General features: G+C 49.2%; 1 protein-coding gene across 2 annotated transcripts in view; it reads left to right on the top strand.

The window, feature by feature from the left end:
* The window catches only part of XKR6 (XK related 6), a 305,789-nt gene extending 295,229 nt beyond the window's left edge, over window positions 1-10,560 (top strand). Inside the window, exon 3 of one of the 2 annotated variants that reach the window (NM_173683.4) lies at window positions 7,689-10,560. In NM_173683.4, the coding sequence (NP_775954.2) occupies window positions 7,689-8,653 (965 nt within the window). In that variant the 3' untranslated portion in view covers window positions 8,654-10,560. Of the gene's footprint in view, window positions 1-7,589 lie in introns of both variants that reach the window. The other variant, XM_024447129.2, reaches the window with a different exon arrangement.
* The last annotated feature ends 2,608 nt before the right edge of the window (window positions 10,561-13,168 follow it).

Genomic DNA, 13,168 nt, shown 5'->3' with positions numbered 1-13,168 from the left:
CAAAGCAACCTGTTAGACCTGAAATTATTTGCCATTACAATGGCAAAACCGCAATTACTTTTCACCAGCATATTATTTCCTGTGTACATATTTTCAGCAAAAGTTTTAAAAGAAGATTGCTTTTTTTGTTGCTTTCTCATTAGCACTAAGGTATTTAATTCTGACTGATAACCAGGTAGTGCCCTGCATGTGAAGACCACATCTAGGAGTACAGCACTGAATGTAGAGTAGGCACTGAATTTGGAGACAGGCCCTTCTAATTTGCATAGACACCCACCAAGCTTTTCAAGAAGGATGGCTGATCCTGACCGGTGGTGTGCTGGTAAATGTTTAACAACCAACATTTAGCAGGATTTGGTGGAGCTCTGGTTTGTACCATTTGCCAATTGCTGTGGTGTAAATACTCCCACCATGCCAATTTCAAGCCCGCAACATGACATCAGGCAGCCTACAGTTTAAGAATTGGCCAGCTCCAGCACATGCAGATCCAGATTCTGGGGAGTGAAATAGTCTCGGGTTTCAGTATGAGCTCTCTTGCTTACTAGCTGTGTGGCCTTGGGTGGGTTATTTAACGGCTTTGAGCCTGGCTCATAGAAGTCATCAGGATGCTTGTTTTCTTCCCTCTTCATTGCCCAAATAGGAAAGTACCTTTGTCACATCACTCCCTTGCCATGTCTCCTGTGGGAAGGCGAGGACGGGAGACAGTGGGTTATGCTTAGAGAGGCGGTGGACACAGCTGCCTTATCCTTTCCTGGGAACATTTCCAAGAAGAGACTGGACTTTTTTAAAATGTGGGAAGACAGAGGGAAGTTTGACAGATGGAAGGGGAAGAATTGCTGTCTAAAAGGACTCATTGTGGGAAAAATACAAAATAGGAATTTGAAAAGCAGATGGTGGAGATCCCCCAAATGTTAGCTTCCCCAGGAGGGAGGGAGGCAGGGAGGGGGCCAGGGTTGAAAGAGGGAGATGTTGTCCTTGATATGCAGACTGACAGATAACCAGCTAAGCCTGTGTCCTGTCTGGGGCATCTCTAGAGGCCCAGCCTACTGGGGTACAATGCCATACAAGTTAGGTGAGCATGCAAATGTCAGGATATGGCTGTGGCCACATCCACGTCTCTTCACTGCTGTTTCGGTCTCCTCATCTACAATATGGGGATAAGAAACCTGGCAGGAAAAGGCTGCCATAAAGAGCTCAAGAAATGGCAGGAAGAGAACTGGGGAACAGCTAAGGGTGGGGTGTGAAGAAGGACAGAGCAGATCCCAATCCCGACTGTCACACAGAGCCAGGAGGAGAAGCACGGAAGCAGTCCTCCGAATGCCGCACGACCTGAGTGACAGCTCTCCACTGGGGCAGATTTGGGAGGAAAGCAGGTGGTGGGAGAGTGAGGAGGGCAAGTGGCCTGCCTTCGGGAAGCTTGGAGAAGATGAGACAAGGAGAGGAGGGACAGCTTCAGGAGAGGATGCAGGGTCCAGGGACCATGCTGTGTAAATGGGAGAACCTTGACCCTGGCTACCCGCTGATGGGAACAAGCCAGGAAGAAGGAGCTGGGGAGGAAAGAGTCAGGAAGCTGGGATCTGGGGAGCTGCACACAGCTGACTCTTTCCACTTCTGTCCTGCCTCATGCTTAGGTCCCTCATCATCAAGTGTGTTTCCGACACATGACTTAGCGGTGGGGCTGAGCTGACGCTCTCGGTCAGAGAGAGGGTGAGGCAGGGCTGGGCCTGCACCTCCCATTCTGCAAAACACATTCCTGCAGTTGAGCCCAGCTCTGGCTCAGGGGCAGTTGGTGACCATCTCTAGGCACTCCTGTGGCTTTCTGGAGCATGCCTTCCCCCAGGTGCTGTGTTCAGCCTACAGGGAGCTCTGGACATTGTTTCCTCCTTCAGGTTCCCTTATTGGAGATGTGTCGGGGCTCCCATATGCTGGCCCCCTGATGCAGCTCCACCCTGGCCCATCCCGGTCACAGCCTCCCTTCCTGGCCTGACCCCTTCCGTGGCACCTCCTTGCTCTCCTGCCTCACCTGCTCCCTCCAGGTTCTAGGATCTCATCCTTTGCAAGACGCCCTGTCACTGTGCTTCTCATTCAGTAGGGCACCCATATCCACACGTGTTGCTTTGTTCCCCAACTGGCTATGACCCCTGGGAATTGAAAACACAAAACAGGACGTTCCCTGATGACTGCCTTTCTGGCTCTGTGTCATCGGTCATAAGATGTGGCCGTTCCATTTCTGGAACCTGAGACCCCAGGGCTGGTGATCAGAGCCCAAAGGCCCTTTCTCCAAGCCTTTCTCTGGGGAGTTGCCCTTCCCCAGCCCCCCAGCCTCAGGAACTCTGGCCCAGAGACTTCCCAGCCAGTGGCACTGCACTAAGGTCAGCGCAGTGGGCATGCTGCCAGCGCTGCCTCCTGGTCTGCACCAGGGAAAGGGAGCTGTGAAGGTCACTGCTCAGAGCTCGTCACAGCCAAACGTGAAGCGTGTAACAATTTCTAGTCTGATCTTCGGAATGCAGTCAGTGATGGAGCTGGAAGCGGAAGGGAACCGTGGAGGCTGCCAGGCCTGTCCAGGAATTTCACTGGGGGCTTCCACGGCCGGTTCCTGTGTGCTTGGGTGTTACCTAGGAGAACGCATTGACTTTTGAGTTGACTTCAGACAAGACGGAAATTCTCCAAGTGAGCCACTGCAGAGAAGGAAGAACCTGTACTCACTCCTTCTGTAACAGAACACACAGCAAGCTTTGAAGATGAATCACTCGGCGGTGGCTGTGCACAGTTCTGTCCGCACGGTGTACGTCTGCTCAGGCTGCGGTCACAGAGCACTGCAGATCAAGGTGCTACTGGTCTGAGAAGTCTCTCCTGAGGCCTCCCTCCTTGGATTGTAGACGCCTGTCTTCTTGCTGTGTCCTCATGTGGTCATCCCCCTGTGTGTGTACCTGTGTCCTAATTTCCACTCCTTAGAAGGACCCAGTCACACAGGGTTAGGGCCCACCCTAACGGCCTCGTTTTACCTTAATCACCTCTTTAAAGGCCCTATCTCTAAACACAGCCACATTCTGAGGTCCTAGGGGTTAGAGCTTCAGCATATGGATTTTGTGGGGGGGACACAACTTAGCACCTACCTCCCCAGGCCCTTCTCAATAAGAAAATGCATGTAGATGCTCAGTGAATCCTGCCAAGTTCTCCGGGACAACCAGGTGCACAGTTGGGGAGGGTTCAGAGCAAGAAGTGCATCTTCTGTCCTGGCTTCCCATCTCCTGCCCCTGTTGAGTCCCCAGAATTCACAGGCTGTCCTCAAGGCACCCTTCGCTGATGGCCCTCTGAGGAAGAATTGCAGCGACAGTCCTGTGGGGGCTGCAGGACTTGTTCAGGGAAAAGATGCAGAAGTGGCTGAGCCATGAACATTTGGTCCCTTGGCCAAACATAACGACGTAGACAATGTCACAGACAGGTCCAGATGAGTTCCTGGGGGGCAGGCTGAAGACATGTTCATCGATGCACTCCATCACAGGTTTTTGAGTCCCACCAGGGCAAGGGCTACCCTCTGTTGAGCATCCAGTAGAAACCTGTTCCCAAACGGGGTCCTGAAGTGAGCCTGGCTTTCCTGGTCTCTTCTCAGGGATTGACTCAGCCCACTAGCTGTACCAACTCCGGTCCCAAAAAATGTGCCCAGAGCCTTGGATAGAATGGGGAATACTTTGGTGATGAGGTAGATTAGAAAGTGATGGGGGTAAGAGTTTTGACCTCCCCCAGGCAAGTCCCCTCCTTGCAGGATCATTCTCGCCCCTGTTGCTGGCAGAGAGAGAGGGGCAGGCACATCAGGGGCACGAGGCCTGTACACCCACTCCCCATTGCTCTGTGTGGTCAGAGGTGTTCTTCTTGGTCTTGGGCAGTTGGTGGAAGTTCACCTTCTCCTTTCACTATTTGGAGCATTTCACAGTGTCAAGGATATGGCCTGGCGTTCGAACCCTGAAGAGCCAATGGCTGGGCACCAGAACAGGCTCCCACCATTGGAGAAGGCTGATGACCTTTAGTACAAAGGATCTTGAGAAAGGTGTTGCCTGCTGGATATCTGGAAAGCTGAACTGACAGAGGGACCAGACGGAGAAAGGATGGAGAGTGGGAGCAGCGCGACATGGCAGGAAGCATGCCATCCTCATAGAGATGGCCGGTGGTTCTCAGGACAGTCTTGAGCAAGCCACCCAAGCCCCTGCACCTCTGCTTCCTGTGGAATGGGTGGGTTGAAGTGGATGGTCTGGGAAGCTCCCCTAGATAGAAGGTTTGGCCATTCATAAGTTGACCAAGTCAGGAACAGATGAAGCAGAGACTTAAAACTGGGCTGGCCATTAGCTCGCCAGCAGACTCCCCAGTCAGATGCCTGGAATCACAGTCTTCCATGGGACCATTTCCCAAGCCCTCCTTGTAAGTTAGCAGTGATGTCTTGCAACACTGAGGAATGTCTGTGCAGTACCCTTGGGCGAAATTCTAGAAGCCGCAACTGCAGTGCCTGGTCGGCTGAAACAAGAGTAGTTTCAGCACCACTGCCATGAAGGGAGTTGCAGGAACAGAACACCCGCCTTCAAAACCACAGCGACACACCTGGAAATGGGGTAGGTAACTCTGAAGGCAGAAGAATGGAGAAGAATTCTATTTGGCTTTGCAACTGGTGGCTGATGAGCATTTGAATTCCCATTTATTCATTATTGGTGTGAACGGGGCCAATGTCACAGCACAGAGAACAACAAAATCAGAACAGCGAAGTCTGAGGGTGATCCTAACTCTGCACCCCAAGTCTGCTCAAAGCATGCTTAGAACTGGACTGGATCTGACCAGGCCCCAGCAGAAGCTAAGCTGCTCCTTCTTGCTTTATGAGCTCAGCACTCACGCTTTTCTGAGTAGAAGGTAATAGAGTTTGCTTTATTAGAAGGAACACAACAATCAAGCCTTCTTCCCACCCAGCTCCCATAGAACTCCCATCTGATTACTATGGGTCGGTAGGACCTACCAGATGTTCATGATTAACATCAAGCAGTGAATTCAGCTGGAGAGCAAGGATGTCATGAGGATGTTTAATGGAATTTTTTGAGGGTGCTTCAGTGCTGGGAATAGCCTGGTCCAGACTATGAAGATGTGATTTCAGCAAGGCGTGGTGACTCATGCCTGTAATCCCAGCACTTTGGGAGGTCAAAGTGGGAGGATTGTTTGAGCCAAGAGTTCGAGATCAGCCTGGGCAATGTGTTGAAACTCTGTCTCTAGGCTGGGTACAGTGGCTCATGCCTGTAATTCCAGCACATTGGGAGGCCAAGGTGGGCAGATCACTTGAGGTCAGGAGTTCAAGACCAGCCTGGCCAACATGGTGAAATCCTGTCTCTACTAAAAATACAAAAATTACCCAGGCATGGTGGTGTGCACCTGTAGTCCCAGCTACTCTGGAGGCTGAGGCAGGAGAATCACTTGAACCTGGCAAGTGGAGGTCACAATGAGTGGAGATCATGCCACTGCACTCCAGCCTGGGTGACAGAGTGGGACTCCATCTTAAAAAAAAAAAAAAAAAAGAAGTAGAAACTCTGTCTCTACAAAAAATAAAAATAAAAATCTTAGCTGGGCTCACTGGAGCATGCCTGCGGTCCCATGTATGGGAGACGGGAGGATCACTTGAGCACAGGAGGTTGAGGCTTCAGTGAGCAATGATTATGCCTCTGCACTCCAGCCTGAGCGACAGGGTAAAACCCTGTCTCAAAAAAAAAAAAAAAGGTAATTGCACATCCTCTGCCCTCCAGAAATCTGCAACCTACATCACATTACTCCTAAGGGGAGTTCTCCCTGCTGCACCCTAACAGACAATGTGAGCACTAAAAGGTTCCCTGACCAACCATGTGCAGCCACTGCAGACACACATGAGATGTCTTGTGTGTACCACAAGTGAGGCAGGACATGTGTCATGTTCAGAACTTTCTAGAAAAGAAAAGGAAAATTGCCATGAATGCTCTTTGGATGTTTTCCAGATAGATTTCCATGGAGAACTTGGGATCGTGTTGCCCCTGTTTGTTTCAAATCTCCATGGTTGTTATTACTATGAAAGAGTCACACATGCCCATTGTAACAGTTAACAGGTTTTTTTATTGCACCATACTGTTCTGCAAGCTAGGACTCTGAGCTTCATGTGACATGATGGAAGGAGGGGACCTTTGTGAGACGGGTGACGCAGAGCCAGTGCTGGGAGAGTGTCACGTGGCAGAGAACTCGGATTCTTCATCGGGCTTCGGAGAGTTGTGGGGAGTTGGGCAGGTCCCGGGGAGAGACGAGCAGAAGCCTGGTGGTCTGGGGAAGTTTAACCAGTGTCTTGATGAATGGGGCTTCTGTATCTGATCTTTGAGCTTAAGGGAGAAAATCACTGGGTAACCTTGATTTCAACCTGGAAGAATGTCGTGGGGGGAATTGTGCTCCGTGGGAGGGTAAAGCTTTCCTAAGGAGGTCGTTGCCAGTGGGACAGCATTCGGCCTCCTGTTGCATTTACTTACATTTAGTTGTGAAATTTTGGGAGAAAAGACCAGCAAAAGAGGCCCCAGATGGACTGTGGAACTGATGCACGGGGAGTTGGGGGTTGGTGATGGGGGAAATCTTGCTTAAACGGAGATTGTATGACAGCACTCGAATAATGACTGGTTGTTCATGGGTGGATTTGGGGAGACTTCAGTAACAATGGATTGTGTTTCATTTGGTTTACTTGCAAATATCAAGTAGTCAGAGTTGGATATAAAATTGTTCTATGGCAATATGAGTATGACTTGGGATTAGGCACACTCAAACTCTGTGAATATTTGCCCGTTGTGGGAGGAAATGCAGGGAGTAAAGTGCAGAGGCCTTGGAAGCCTCAGAAAACCAGTAAGGGGAAGAGGCACCCCCAAAGCCCAAGTGATACCATGTTGAACCCAGAGGGCAACCAGAGAAGGACAGAGCTTCAAAAGTCAAGGCTTAAGAGCACATTGAGCAGCAGTCGGTTGGAAAAAGCAACAGGGATTGTGGAGAGGCCGAAAAGACCAGAGTGGGTGAGAGAGGAAGTCTGTGAAATGGGCGGGATATCCCAGTGTCCTGGATCTTGTTGGCCTTGGGTGGCAGGTCAGGGAGAAGCTAACTGGAAGAAGGTTCAGGAAAGGGCCTTTTGGGACTTTGAGTGAGGTGAGGAAAAGGCAGAAGCATGATTCCAGCACCTCAGAGGAGAACAGTGTGGAATTCAGGGCGGTGGGTAAACCCTTGGTCTTCACAATTGGCGATTCCTCCTGTGGGCTTCTCTGAGAGCACAGGCTGCTGGTGACAGCGACGCCAATGCCAGCCGCACATCTGTGTGCCACAAGAATCGCATGATTCCTTAAGGCGGAACCCACAAAGGGCTGCCCATGGCAGACGTGGCCCCACCTCTCAGCCCCCTAGCAAAACACACTGGCTCAGTATCACCCTTGAGCTACTGAGCTCCCAAAATGGCAAATGGGGTTGTTGAAACAAAAGCTCCATCTCCCAAGTTGTCAGCGTAGGGAGCAGCTGTGACCTCCAAGTTCGGTTCCTGATTCTGTGTTTCTTTCTCCCTCCTCCTTTAGATCGTGGTGTATGTGGGCGTCTCCTCAGCCGGCAGCTTCACTGTGCCCTGCGGTTGATGTCCAAGGTTTTGACTGTGTGGGTTTGTGTCTTTCCGGCAGGTGTCTCCTCTGTGACTTCCCTGATGTCCCTGGCTTGGGTGCTAGCCTCCTATCACAAGCTGCTGCGGGACTCCAGGGACGACAAGAAGAGCATGAGCTACAGAGGGGCCATCATCCAGGTCTTCTGGCGCCTCTTCACCATCTCATCCCGAGTGATCTCTTTTGCCCTCTTTGCTTCCATCTTCCAGCTCTATTTTGGGATCTTCGTGGTGGTTCACTGGTGCGCCATGGCCTTCTGGATCATCCATGGCGGAACAGACTTCTGCATGTCCAAGTGGGAGGAGATCCTCTTCAACATGGTGGTAGGGATCGTGTACATTTTCTGCTGGTTTAACGTCAAGGAAGGGCGGACTCGATATCGAATGTTTGCATATTATACGATAGTCTTGACCGAGAATGCTGCCTTGACGTTCCTTTGGTATTTTTACAGAGACCCGGAGACCACTGACTCCTATGCGGTGCCAGCACTGTGTTGTGTCTTTATTAGCTTTGTGGCTGGGATCGCAATGATGCTCTTATACTATGGCGTGCTGCATCCCACAGGACCACGAGCTAAGATCCTTGCCAGCTCCTGTTGTGCCGAGCTGCTCTGGGGCATCCCTTTGCCCCCCGATGTTGAGCCCATGGCGCCTGAGATCCCTGGGTACCGGGGGACCCAGGTTACGCCCACCAGAGCCGTAACGGAACAACAGGAGGATCTCACGGCTGACACTTGCTTGCCTGTTTTCCAAGTGAGACCCATGGGGCCCCCTACCCCGTTGGGGCGTCCTTACCTCCCAGAAGGGCCCCTCATTAAGATTGACATGCCAAGAAAGCGATACCCAGCTTGGGATGCTCATTTTGTAGACAGGAGGCTGAGAAGGACTATTAACATTCTACAATATGTCACCCCCACCGCAGTAGGCATTCGATATCGAGACGGACCACTCCTCTATGAGTTGCTACAGTATGAGTCTTCACTCTAAGAGCATCTTGACCAAGTTGAGAAGGGGACCTTAAGTTTGGTTTGCGGCAAACAGCACTTGCAAGAAATATAACCCTCCCTTCCCCCAATACACAGAACCACCGCCACCACCACCAACACCGCCACACCAACACCACCACTACAAAAAAAAAAGAATTAATAAGTCACAACCCCTTCAAATAAGCTTTCTTTCCAGTCGCTGTATGTATACAAAGATATTCTCTATGTTTTGTAAGTAAAAACAAAAAGAAAACCTTTCTTTTGTTTTTTACACATAAGAAACAGTATTGAAAAATCCCACGCTATGGTTCATAGGGTGGAGAAGGAGGAGTTATCTCCACTCCAAAAGAAAAAAAAAAAGTTTTTTACCTTACACCAAGTGTAGATCATTTATGGGATTGGTGCTGATTGAAAGAACAAAACAAAACAAAACAAACACAAACAAACAAAAAACCTTCAACTGCCTTATGCCCTTAGGTGCTGAGTTTCATTAAGTACTGTCACGTTTTCTCATGCAAAACTCTCTGGTGATTTTTGCACCAGAAGAGGGAAAATTAAACAATTAAATGAAACAAATCTAAAAGTGAAACAAAAACCAACCAACAAATACAACACAAAGCAATTATTCTTCCTATCTGATTATTTGTATTGAAGAAAACAAATTTACCAAAAGCAAAAGCATAAACCCCTCCCTCTTTTCAGTTTCTCCCCCTCCTCTCCTGACCTTCTCCCCACTTTGCAGAGCCTTCTAGGAGCTCAAGGGCTGTTTGAAACTCAAATGGCTGGAGAAGCTACTTGAAGGCTGATTATGTGCCATTTTAGCATTTGCCTAGCAAGAATCACATTCGTTTCCCAGTGAAAAGCAAACCAGAACAAAACAAAAAGCCACCGCAATAATTCGGTAAGGACAGGATATTCTAAAGCAAATTAAAGGAGATTTCTGTACACATAGTCAGTAATAATAAAACTCAGCATAGTAGCAAAAAGAACGACATCAGTTTAAAGGCACAATACTTAATCAGTGACTGGCAACAACGATTAGTTCCATCATTTTAAGGCTGTGAATGGTAGACATTTATCACATGTGATATTGTGTAAAGCCTCTTCTGTTTCCATTTGGTGGGAAGCCTTAAATTGATCTGGAAAGAATTCTTCATTTTTCATTTGTGCTTTTTTAAAAAAAAAAATAACACAAAGAGGAAAACTAGAATATATATATATATATACATATATATAAAAAGTCAAAATTGTAATAACTGACCCATTTCAAAGACTGTTTGGTGCTTCTGTCTTTCACCATTGTGGTTGGCTGAAAATCATTCAGCTCACCTGGTGCATCTGGGTTGAATGGGAAATTTTGTGTGTGTAGTATGTGTGTGTTTGTGTGTGTATGTGTGTGTGTGCCCATAGCACACGTATATATGTGTGTGTCCCTGCTGCAAAGTCTTGCCAGAGATATACAAAACTGATGTAAGACGAACTTGGATCACGGCTTGGTTCAGCAGAGCATGGGGGCGGGGGCTCTGGAGTGGTGGGGAAGTGATGCTGCCTGCCCACGAGCCCTGGTTTGGGTGGCAAGACTCACACCAGCAGCGGACTGCAGGCCTTAGAGGCCATGCCATTTGGGTGAGGATTTGATTCCACTGTTTATTTTCTCATTGTATCAAGTTGAATTTCTGCAGGTGTTGCAAGTATGTTCAACGATTTAAATTTTTTTTTATTTTTCAAAGTATTGTTCCTTTAAAGAATATTTCTGTTCTAGGGCATCGTTTCAATCGCATCGTATCTCTACTTGGGCACAAAAAAAAAGGAAAAGAAAAAAAATCACAAAAAAGATATATAATAAGTATATATATATATATATATATAAACACACACAATATTTTTAAGTAAATACTGTTAGTCTTTGCTGTGTGTAGCTGCGATTTTTTTTCCCAAATATATACCTGTTTAGGGTGCAAGACCTCACGTTGAACTATTCTCAACAGAAGTTCAATAACTGAGGGTTTTTTAAATGTTTGTGGAGTTTTGTTTTTTTTTAAATAAAAAACAATTATTATTCAGCGAGGCTTCTCCTTCCCACCACCTTCATTGTTTATCTAAAACCTTTTTTGTTTTAAGAACAAGTTTCAAATATCAGTTGTGAAACTCTATGCTCTCTTCTTTGTCTGGACTTCCTAGACTTCATGCGTCCTTACTAAGCATCGTGGTGCTGTCCTCTCCCCGTCCCTGACTCGGGGGTCCCCTCGGGCCTCACTGGTGGGCAGGTGGAGGAGGAGCCCCCAACTCTAGGAAGCAGGACGAACAGAGCACACGCAGGCAGCAGTGAAAACCAGCCAGGAGGGCTCGGCGCGCCCATTAAAGGGACCCGCCCGTGGGCCCCTGGAGAGTCACCTGGGAGTTGGAATCTAGTCAGAGGCACTTTTCTGAACCGCACCAGCGTGCTGCCTTGCAAGGGCTTCACGCCTGAGCTGCACAGTGTACTCTGCTAGGCTGGGAAGGTGAGGCCATTGGAGGGTGGGGCATCCGCTTTAGCTGGGGGGGTCCCACCTCTTGTCTGCTTCAGGTCTGGGGCTCTGTGCACCTGGAACTGGCCCATGTCTGTCCTTTGCGCATCTTCCTTGAAATGCCCTCATGCATCCCCTCGGGACTTCTGCCACTTTTGCTTGTGTGTCTGTTCTTGGATTTCTTTCTTTCTTCTTTCTTTTTGTTTCAGCGCAGTCACGGGTTTTAATTCACCACCTCTATTTCACTCTTGCACACTTAGTGTGTGTGTGTCCGTGTGTGTGCATCCTGCCACGTTTACATGCAACTTACAAAGAGAACGGTGGATGCTGAGCTGACCGGGAGCACCAGGAGTTGGGATGGCAACTTCCAAATCAGGGAGGGCCTCCAGGGTCTTAGCCACTAGGAACAAATGAGGAGATCACGGGACATTTCAGCAATCTTTAATTTCACACTTCTCACTTGAAAAGGCACCCTCGCCCCTCTCTGGAACCCCTCCATCATGCCAGTACTTTCTTCACAAAGAAAATGAAAATATGCATCTGTGAGCAGCAGCAGGGAAAGCTGGTTTTGCAGAGATGCAGGAAAAGGAAGAAAAGCAAGGAAAGAAGTAGAGAGCAAGGCAGGGAAGGGGCAGGGGAGACCTGATGGCAAGGACCAGGCCAGAGCTGTCCTCAGTGTCCTCTTGTCATCAGCCTCTAGCAGCTCCCCACACTCCCAGCCACCGTAAAACTCTCTGGCCTCATCTCCCCTGGGGTCTTCTCTTCCCCCCAGGCCCTTCCCCTTCCAGTGACTGGTCCTGGGCATCCAGGCAGGATTCCATACACACTCAGTGCTGAGACCACCTGGGGAATGTGTCTCCAGACCCAGATGACTTTGGTCCTGAAAGCCCGGATCCTTAAGGCCGCCCCGTGACAGGGTCACTCTTTGTCCCACATTGGACATTAAATGCCCAATGTCCCATATTTTTCATTTGCCTCAGTCCTTGACAACCCTCTAGGGCTGCTGCTTCAGTTGCTTCCCAGAGGAATGCCTGTGATGTTTTTAGGTTTTTTAAAAATTTTAAATCTCTGGGCCCATTTCTTTCCCAGGACCCCCTGATGAAAAATAATCCATTTCCAGTATTTAGGCCTGGTAAGCACGTTGGTGCCCAGAGATGGAGAATACAAAAACTATCTCCTTTTCATTCCCTAATGACCCCCCCATCAAGTATGCCCACTAAGACCCGTATTTTATTCCTCTAACCACGTAGAACATTTGGCTTTTACTTTTTCTTCCCAGAAATTTGGTAGTATCGCTAAACTATAACTAATGGTGTTAGAGTCGTTTCTGCAAACTCTGCTTCTCCCTTGCTCAGCAGGTCTGCCTCTTCTCCCAGCCTCTGTGTAAAAGGAAACTTCAGTCCCCTCAGATGACATTAGGATAATGTGCCCTGAGTTCACTGCCTGAAGCCTGTGACATCCGGAATGGGAGCTCCCTGTCTCTTAAGGCCATGATGAGGGGTGCTAGGGAGGCTTCAGTCCATCAGATCAACCCCCTCTGGCCTCACTCACCCTAAAGCTTCCCGTGTCTCTAACACTCTCCTGCACTCTGCCTCTGGAAGGTGTCACCTGGTTCTGCAGGGTCGGGCTTGTCCCAGCAACATGGGTACCAGGATACTGGTAGGACACTCACCCAAGCAGATCTGCGGCCAGAACGAAAGAGGCGCCATCTCCCTTGCCCAGACATGCCGCCGTCACAACACAGCCTTGGGCAGGGAAGACGACATTTCCCCATGGCCTGGGGATCCCCCACACCACACCTCCCCAGGCACAGAATCATTCAAGACCCGATGGTTCTCATGGCTCTAACCCAGTCCCTCCCCAGCCGTGGCCCCTCTGAGTCCCATGATCCTGTCTGGCCCGTGGTCATGAAGGTGATTCCCCTGGCTCGGGGGCATCTCATGCCACAGATGTCTGACCCTGTCCAGATATGAGCCTGATTCTCAGAAAGAATTTACAGGTTTTAGAAA

The sequence above is a fragment of the Homo sapiens genome, chromosome 8 (assembly GCF_000001405.40).
Source record: "Homo sapiens chromosome 8, GRCh38.p14 Primary Assembly".
NCBI classification, from domain to species: Eukaryota; Metazoa; Chordata; class Mammalia; order Primates; family Hominidae; genus Homo; species Homo sapiens.
This window is presented reverse-complemented; position numbering and strand designations above follow the sequence as displayed.